The sequence below is a fragment of the Homo sapiens genome, chromosome 15, assembly GCF_000001405.40.
Source record: "Homo sapiens chromosome 15, GRCh38.p14 Primary Assembly".
Taxonomy (NCBI): domain Eukaryota; kingdom Metazoa; phylum Chordata; class Mammalia; order Primates; family Hominidae; genus Homo; species Homo sapiens.
In genome coordinates, this window is record NC_000015.10 from 45,933,667 (window position 1) to 45,943,915 (window position 10,249).

Below are 10,249 nucleotides of genomic sequence, written 5' to 3' on the forward strand. Positions count from 1 at the left end.
TAATTTTTTTTTTGTTTTGGCTGGCTGTAGGTCAAAATTCTCTACCACATTGCATGCCTCATAATTTTTGATTGGATAGTTGGCGTTGTAATTTTACGTTGTTTTTTATTTTATTGATTGCTGAATTTTGTTGTTTTTATTTAAATAATTATGGATTCTATTCTGATGTGCAATTAATTTACTCGGAATCAGTTGGATCTTTTTGAATTTTGCTTTTAAGCATTGTTATTGTGGGTCTAGATTATTATTTTGTTGAGCACCAAGTTAGCTCACTGCTATGGTGATATTCTTCTACATGATGTACCTTGTGCTGTAATAAATATCTTTACACTGCGACTGGTAGGAACATAAATGATTCCAATCTGTGTGTGGACTTCTGGAATTGCTCTTCATACTCTTTTCCATTGATTCTTTCCCTGTCTCACATGTGCTTCTTTACTTAGCCAAAGACTGTAGGGAACTCCTTGTAGAAATCTGGAGTTCTTCCTCTTGCATATCCCTTATTTTTGTTTTCTGTATCACAAATTCTAGGTGACTTTGTCTTCTGATCTCCAGTCTCCATCTTCTCAACTCAAGGAGATTGCTGGGCTTTGTGTTTTCACTCCTTGCACTGTGGCCTGAAATCACTCTCAAACAGTAAACTGGTAAAGTTGAAGGGCTCATCTTATTTGCTTTTCTTCTCTTGGGGATCACTACACTGCTACTTTGTTGTTTAATATCTGAAAACTGTGGTTTCATATATTTTGTCCAGGTTTTTGGGTCTTTAGTTGGGAATATAAATCAGTTCCTATTACTGTCTCTTGATGTCTTTATTTGATTTAATCCTAAAAATTATCTTCTTTTTAAAGTTAATTCCTATTCTTAGGAGGAAATTAAAGGTCTAACAAAAAATGTACAAAGTTCTATCCTTTTTTTTTTTTTTTTTTTTGAGACAGAGTCTCGCGCTGTCACCCAGGCTGGAGTGCAGTGGCGCGATCTCAGCTCACTGCAAGCTCCACCTCCCGGGTTCACACCATTCTCCTGCCTCAGCCTCCGGAGTAGCTGGGACTACAGGTGCCCGCCACCACGCCTGGCTAATTTTTTGTATTTTTAGTAGAGACAGGGTTTCATCGTGTTAGCCAGGATGGTCTCGATCTCCTGACCCTCGTGATTCGCCTGCCTTGGCCTCCTAAGGTGCTGGGATTACAGGCATGAGCCACCGTGTCCAGCCGAAGTGCTGTCCCTTTTTTTTTTTTTTTTTTTTTTTTTTTGAGACAGAGTCTCGCTCTCTCACCAGGCTGCAGTGCAGTGGCACAATCTCGGCTCACTGCAAGCTCTGCCTCCCGAGTTCAAGCTATTCCCCTGCCTCAGCCTCCCAAGTAGCTGGGACTACAGGCGCACACCACCGTGCCCAGCTAATTTTTTGTAGTTTAGTAGAGACGAGGTTTCACTGTGTTGGCCAGGATAGTCTCGGTCTCCTGACCTCGTGATCCACCCGCCTCGGCCTCCCAAAGTGCTGGGATTACAGGCGTGAGCCACCACGCCCTGCCAAAGCGCTGTCCTTTTAATTGTGTTTTTCTTTGGGTCCATCCTGGCTCTGTGGTGTCCTGGTATCTGAATTATGCCTGGATCTCTTTTTCAGCAGCTGCAGCTTGAGGTATTTCTTATGGAAAATTGCACTGCTCTTTGGTAAATCCAGAAATTACCTCAATATCAAGTCTCTCATATTTCCAAAGTTCTGAAGAGCTGTCAGGATACTTGGAATCTACTAAACTAAATATTTGCAATCTAAGTACATATTGCCTTGTGCGCATGTATTTCCCAAGCAAAGCAGTGTTTCCAGTACTAAGCAGATATCTTTGACTCTAACTCCAATTTGCTATCAACCAGATACCACCATAGAGATGCAGTATATTTGGGGGAATCAAATAAATAGAGAAAACAAATAAGGGAGGGAGGGACAAATGGCGGGGGGCGGTGGGGAGAGATAGAGGAGGGGAGGGAGGGAGGGAGCGAAGGGGAGAGAGAGAGAGAGAGAGAGAGAGAGAGAGTTTCAGTTTCTCCAAAGGGCCAGGCTAATTGGTACCCATTGTCTAGTGTACTGCTGTTGAATTTAAGGTTCAAATGGAATAGGTCTTCTGACAAAAGACTCTTACACTATAAAATGATCGTGTTTGGTGGGGAGAGAGAGGGGAGAGGAAAATATGTATAACTCTGAAACATCCCCTTCTTTCAATAACATTTCTAAGTTTGAGATGATAGGATCCCCTTCTCTAGGTCTTTTTGACGCCTTTCTTCCATTTAGTGTCCAGGTCACGTGCTGTGAACTTCCAAAAGAGGGAAACCAAGATGTTTTATATCCATTTTGGACTCTGCATTCATGCTATTTCTTTCCAGAACCTACACTTTTGAGATCCAGGGTCATACCCTGTAAGAGATTCTATTGGTGCACCCTCCATATCCTCGTGGGCCTTAGCTTTGTGGTTACTCCCTATCTTACTTCTGTTAGCAAGTGCCTTTCTTTACTGGAGGGCTGTCTAAAGCAGCTGGAGTGCACTGCTTGTGCCCAAGCTAGGCTAGAAGTGCCACAGAATTAATGTCCCATAATCAGCTCTTAATCAATGTCTTAGCGGGATATCTCTGAATTGTCTGTACTGCATGGATATCTAGAGTTTCCCAGTGGGATGAAGCTGTAGTTGCCCACAGTGGTAGCTGGCTTGATACGTTCCTTTTTCTGTTTCATTCCCACTTCCCTGCCATGGTTTATTGGATCACCTTCCAAATAAATGACTTGTTCTCTATTCCTTGTCTCATGATCTATTCCTGGGAGAATCTAAATTAAGATACCCCTACTTTCTGGCAAGCAAGCTACTTCCTTATTACCTCACAGATGACAAGAATTCTATAAGTAAAATTTACAGCTTTGCATTCCTAGCAGTGATAGTCCCCAACCCTCACTGAATACTGAAGAAAGAAGGAAAACAAATACAGGATAGTGAATGCCCTGCCTCCTACTATTTCTCCATACTGTTAGGCCCAAAGTGAACTTCCCTATGTGAGCTGAGCCTCCCACACTCCAGAAATGAATTTCTATCCCCAATTAAGTCCAAGACCTATTGTTCCAAGTGGGATCAGATACATAATTGCTGTCGTAATTTGTACCTCAGAAGTGAACCTGCCTTAGCCCCTAAGATGAATTCTTATCCTCACCAAGATGACTTCTAGAATCAGTAATTGAGGACATCTTTCAATGACGGCAATTTTTCTTTCCCCTGGGACTTTCCCCATGAGAAGTAAAGTTGCTCTTGTAGTTTTTTTTTTGTGTGTGTTTATTTTGTTTTGTTTCGTCCAGATGGAGTCTTGCTCTGTCACCCAGGCTGGACTGCAGTGGCGCGATCTCAGCTCACTGCAACCTCCGCCTCCCAGGTTCAAGCAATTCTCCTGCCTCAGCCTCCTGAGCAGCTGGGATTACAGGCACCCACCTCCACACCTAGTTAATTTTTGTATTTTTAGTAGAGATGGGGTTTCATCATGTTGGCCAGGCTGGTCTCGAACTCCTGACCTTGTGATCTGCCCGCCTCGGCCTCCTGTAGTTTGGTGTTTTTGAGTGAATGTGTCTCCTGTATCCATCACCCTTCTGCATATCCCCACCTCCAACTGCTTTACTGCCCCAGGTGTCAGTCTAGGAGATTTATCTGAGATCTCTACGAGCTGCTACAGTGATGGCTGCCGCCCCGTCCCCAAGAATGTCTGCTTTGGGTCCTCTTCTATGAAAGCAACTGTCTAGTTTGTAGCCACAGCTACACTCTCAAGTGATTTCTTACTTTGGCAAATTGGCCTTAACTAAGACAGAACTATAAAGACTATTAATCTAGAGATTTCTGCTGGGCCTCTATGCCTTCTTGTCTCTGAGACCCCCACTCTGGCAGAATCCCTCCTGCCAGTGGAAAGATATTTTAGACTATTCCTTTTAGAGCAGTCACATGAAGAAGTGGGTTCTAGGAGACTGAAGCAACCTTAAAAGCGGGGGGATAAAAGAGCCTTCTACATGGAAAACAAACTTATCTCTGCTTCACAGAAAACTCCACCTGCTGTGTCTGATTGCTTTTCTGAATATTGATTATATAATGTTCTTAGGTCCACCTTGAGGAGGGCATGAGGTTAGTTTGGGCAACCAGATTGATTGAAAATCAATACCTTTTCTTGTTCAAAATATATCAGATAAAACATGAACCAATCTTCATTTTACCAAAGAAATGGCTAAACTGAAGAAAGACAAACAGAAGACCCAGGATTCTTGCAGCCATTTGGAATGAGTACAGAATTTGTTACTGGGTAGTGGGTACAATGTTTTTGCTGTAGTCTGGAAGACCAGCCTGACAGGACTGCATTTTAGAATATATGGATATACCGGTGAGTTAGAAGATAACTAAAGGAATAGGAGAGAAAATAGAAGACCAGGAGGCAATAGGGAAGAGGGAGAGGAGGAGGTACAGACTTAAAGAGAAAAATTCCATGTGGTTACATGTGAGATTATGTTTGAGAGAGAGCATAGACGAGTAGTCAAGGAAATACGTCAGGAAGTGGAGAGGCAGGAGATGGACTAGGCAGGGGTCAGCGGCTGCAGGCCACATCTGATCTGCTGCCTGTTTTTGTTAATATTATTGTTTATCAGAACATAGGCAGGCTCTTTGGTTTATGGATCATCTATAGCTGCTTTAGTGCTACAACGGCAGAGTTGAGTAGTTGTGACAGAGATGATATATGGCCTGTAAAGCCTAAAATATGTACTTTTATGTAAAAGATTGTCAACACCTGAACTAGAAAGGCGGAGGGTAAAGTAGGAGAAATCAGCTGGTTAATAAAATAGTCATAAGTGACCAGTTGCCAATGAAAATTCCTATAGTGGGTGTTGTGGGTGTCCCACTCAGATCCCCCAGCTGCTGTTGAATGTTGATAATTATCACAGATATCCCCTATTGAGAACTGACTTTGGCTAATGACTTTGTTTTTATTTTTATTTTTATTTTTTTGAGACAGAGTTTCTCTCTGTTGCCCAGGCTAGAGTGCAATGGTGTGATCTCAGCTCACTGTAACCTCTACCTCCTGGGCTTTTAGAGATGGGGTTTTACCGTATTGGTCAGGCTGGTCTTGAACTCCTTACCTCAAGTGATCCACCCACCTCAGCCTCCCAAAGTGCTGGGAACACAGGAGTGAGCCATCACACCCAGCCACCTTGGCTAATGACTTTGGCAAATGTGTACAAAGGCCAGTCTTCTTCCCTCAAGGTGCAACTAACTCTGTGGTGCCATATTTGTCTAGAACTTCCCCAGGGGTCAGGCTGAAGCTGGTCTCCAGCTTTGCTTTGTTCCCCTTTCCTATTCTGTTTCCCTGATGTCCCTTCTCCTGAAGAAACTTCCCTCAAAAATCAGTTGAATGCACAAGAGTCCGTTTCTCAGGCCCTGCTTCAGTAGAACCCGTCTTAAGATGGTACTATTTAACGTCAAACTGTGCACTTAGCCAAGATTTTAATAGAAATGAATGCAAAGCACAAAAGGCTACCCGAAAATCCATGTTTTTATAGAAAATATGATCATTAAAATTGTCACTAATCAAATTAACTTACCGATTGTGGTCAGAGAAGCATACTAAAGCAATTTACTGCATCCCATTCTTCTTGGCCACAAGCACTGGATTTGCTTCAGCATACAGCAGACACACACAAGCAGGTTTGAGGCCTTTTGTCATCCATGCGGGAGCTGCTCCGGGCAACTATCTGTGATTAGGCAGGGAGTCTTTCTAACTAGCAAGGCTAATGCAGATCACTCAAAAATTTCTCTGTGGCATGGAACACTTGAAGCCCTTGTGTCCTGACCCAACCAAAAAAAAAATGCCTTAAATCTTGAATCAGCAAAGGGGCCTCTGGCCTGTCATTAATATTTTAAGTTTGTGCTATTCCTTTTCATTGTCCTGAGTATACTGGGAAGCACAGTACACCGTACATCACATTCATGGCTTCACTCGCTGTGGAAGTCAAGAAAACTTGGCAGGTTGTGGAGAAAAGGGAACGCTTATACACTGTTGGTGGGAGTGTAAATTAGTTCAACCACTGTGGAAAGCAGTATGGCGATTCCTCAAAGAGCTAAAAGCAGAACTACCATTCAACCCAGCAATCCCATTACTGGGTATACACCCAGAAGAATATAAGTCATTCTAACATAAAGACACATACATGTGAATGTTCATTGCAGCACTGTTCACAACAGCAAAGACATGGAATCAACATAAATGCCTATCAATGACAGACAGGGTAAAGAAAATGTAGTACATATATAGCATGAAATAGTATGTGCCATAAAAAGAACAAGATCATGTCTTTTGTGGGAATATGAATGAAGCTGGAGGCCATTATCCTTAGCAAACCAACACAGGAACAGAAAACCAAATACTGTAGGTTCTCACTTACAAGTGGGAGATGAATGATGAAAACTCATGAACATAAAGAAGGGAACCACAGACACTGGAGTCTACTTGAGTGTGGAGGGTGGCAGGAGGCAGAGGAGCAGAAAAAATAACTATTGGGTACTATGTTTAATACTTGGGTGATGAAATAATCTATACAATAAACCCCTGTGACACGAGTTTACCTACATAACAAACCTTCACGTGTACCCCCAAACCTAAAAGTCAAAATAAATAAATCCATAAAAAGAAAAATGAGCAAGAGAATCATTGGCCACAGCAGTGGTTTTCTAGCTCTGCAGTTTCTTTTTCTCTCACTAGCATATCCTAGGATGACATCCACTAATTCACACAGCCAGGAAGCAGAAGAGTAGAGTTAACATAAACCAAGCTTTTAGTAGTACCGTCATATGTCACTTACTGATGGGGATATGTTCTGAGAAATGTGTCATCAGGTCATTTTGCCATTGTGTGAACATGATAGAGTGTACTAACACAAACCTATATGGGATAGCCTACTATACGTCTTGGCTAGATGGCATAGCCTATTGTTCCTAGACCACAAACCTGTACAGCATGTTACTGTAGTCAATACTGAAGGCAACTTGTAACATAATAGTAAGCATCTGTGTATCTAAACATAGAAAAGGTACGGTAAAAATACAAAATAAAAGATAAAAAATGATACACCTGTAGAGGGCACTTACCATGAATGGAACTTGCAGGACTAGAACTTGCTCTGGGTGAGTCAGTGAGTGAGCAGTGAGTGAATGTGAAGACCCAGAACATCACTGTATAATACTGTAGAATATAAATACTATATACTTGGCTACACTTAATTTATACAATAATTTTTCTTTATTCAATGTTATTTTACTGTAACTTTATAAACTTTTAAAATAACTCTTTGAATCTTTTGTAATAATACTTCACTTAAAATACATTTTGTAGCTGTACTAAAATATATTTTTTCTTTATATTCTTATTCTATAAGCTTTTCTTCTATTTCTTAAATTTTTTATTTTATATTTTTTCACTTTTTACACTTTTTTTGGTGAAAACTAAGACACAAGCACACACATTAGCCTAGGCCTATACAGGGTCAGGATCATCAATATCACTGTCTTTCACCTTCACAACCTGTCCCACTGGAAGGTTTTCAGGAATGGTAACATGCATGGAGCTGTCATCTCCTATGATAACCATGCCTTCCTCTGGAATCCCTTCTGCAGGACCTGCCTGAGGCTGTTTTATAGGTAACTTTTAATTTTTTTTTCAAATAAGTAGAAGGACACTTTAAAATAAGTATAGTATAGTAAATACATAAACCAGTAACATAGTAGTTTATCATCATTGTCAAGTATTATACACTGTACATAGTTGTATGTGCTGTACTATTATGTGACTGGCAGCGCAGTAGGTTTACTGACAGCAGCATCACCGCAGACCCGTGAATAATGCATTGTGCTATATGACAGTGTGATGGCTGTGGTATCACTAGGGGATAGGATTTTTTCAGCCCCATTATAGTTTTATAGGACTGCCGTTGTATATGCAGTATACATGCAGTCCATTGTTGACTGAAACATTGTCATGTGGTGCATGACGCTATTGGTAAAGTACCCAGAGACTCTTTGGAGAGAGCAGCAGGAACTAAGATCAAAAACATTTTCTTCAGGGCTGCTCAGGCTGAAATATTTACTTTTTTAAACCACCAATCTGCTTTCAAAATTCTACTAATCATTCAAGGCCCAGTTATAAAGGGCTCTTTTCTTCACATTTGCATAGTTGGCATTACTTACAGGTGTATTCATCTATATCTACTTTCCCAGTTAAAACTATCAACTTGTATCAAAGGCTATGTCTAGAAGCAAACAATCACATGCATAAACCAAGTTCTGAGCCTCATTTATGCATTTAACCACCACACTTTTAACTGATAGTGAGTGACCCTAAAGGCCTGTGTAGTAATTTGGAAAATGCTGAGGCAGGGTCTAGAACTGATCATGTTGTGAGGTGCTGGGCAGCGGCAAGCCACTTAGCTGCCTGGTAAACCTTGCTGCATCTCAGTGGGATATGACTGTCTGCTATGCATTAGCTCCCTTAGCTAGAAATTTTGTTACAGTGAAAAAACAACTTTAATTTGTGTGTGTGTGAGAAAAATATCACTCCAAATAAAGCCAACTGCTTCTGCTGGTTCAGACAAGGAGGAGTCAGAAGTAGCTTTAAAACCAGAGAGATCCTAGGTTAAGGTCAGCAAAATATGGCATGTGTCTCACCAGCCTTTTCTTTCAAGCCCATGACAGATATTGGAAGTTGATTAGCTTTTCTTTCCTGCTAAATTCAGCCCCTGCCTCACAAATCTTCTGAGCCTCTCTAGGCAGTCTCCACCAAGACATCAAATTGGGTACTTAAAATGATACCTGTTACCTATCCTTGAGTTTGTTCAAAGTAATTTCTCTCAAATTGCCTTTCATCCTTTTTTTGCATGACCCAGTTCAAACTTTCTGGCCTTATTATGTTCTTTTCCAATTTTAGGTAGCTATGTTTTGATTGCTTTTACTTTTCAATTGACTTATGTTGTTTATGAGACACTACAGCAGCTACTACTATAGCTTAGTTACTAAATTCTGATAGTTGGCACATACACATTTCTCTGGCTTTGTGACAATTTGTGATTAGGCATTTTAAAAATTCTGATTGGTTGAAGTTGCTTGTGGTCCAAGTCAGTTTTGCTCACTGACATGTAGCTTTGAATAACTACCCTTGCAGTAGTCATATTGCATGTGTTTTATATTACATAAAATTCGTTTTTGTTCTATGAATATCTGACAATCTTTTAGCTCAATTCTATAAATGCAATGTCTCAAAACAGGTTTTCTTTAAAAAGTAGCTGCAAATATATTTTAACTGATGTTGTATAGTTTGTGCAAATTACACTTAAATAAGTGAACTGGGATTTTGTTCACATATAAATAATTACTATGATTTAGTCTGAGGCTTGTAGCTTCTTAAGAATTTTGCACCTGTGAGGCTCTAGGTAGATATCTATTCACGTTATGGTGTCTGTGATTCTGGACAAAGTGAAAAAATGTTGGTTCTTGGTTGAATTTAACAGTCTAATTTATTCCAAATTATTTTTAGCTAGCATTCTGTCCTTGACCAGAGCTAGCTTTACCATATGCGCTCGATGGAACAAAAAAAGTGACTCATAAATTTTCAGTGAATGCTTTGGTTCACTCTACAATGGCTCATCAAATAAAAGACAAAACTTTAGTGAATGCTTAACCAGCAGTTATCTGTGGTTGGGGATAAGCCTAGGAAACTCATGACTGAGTCTCTATGCAAATACAACTTAAAGTCAGAAGGCGGAACAGTCATTTCACTGAAGCATGAGGAGTTAAAGGCTTATCTGTCATCACTGAACCACACTTTTGTGGAGTAAATAATATGCTATGGGTTTGTTCATGTGTTGAGGGATTAGCCAAGGTCTCTACACAGAGCTCTTGTAAGTGGCAAAAATCCGCTATGTTGAGTATTGAGCACTCTGTTAGTTCTTTAGCAAATGAAATAAAATATGGAAATCATTGATCTCTTTCAGTATGTTTGAGTGACTACTTTGTGCTGGGCATTATTGAAGTGAAACAAATATATTTTTTTCTTTTTTTGTAGCACATGTGATTAAGATGTGATATTTCTGAGGAAGTTTCTCCTGCTCAAATGTACTTCATTCAAGAGATTTATTGAACATGCCATATGTACCAGCTATTGTGCTAGGTGCTGGTGATATAACATGTATAATAAAGAA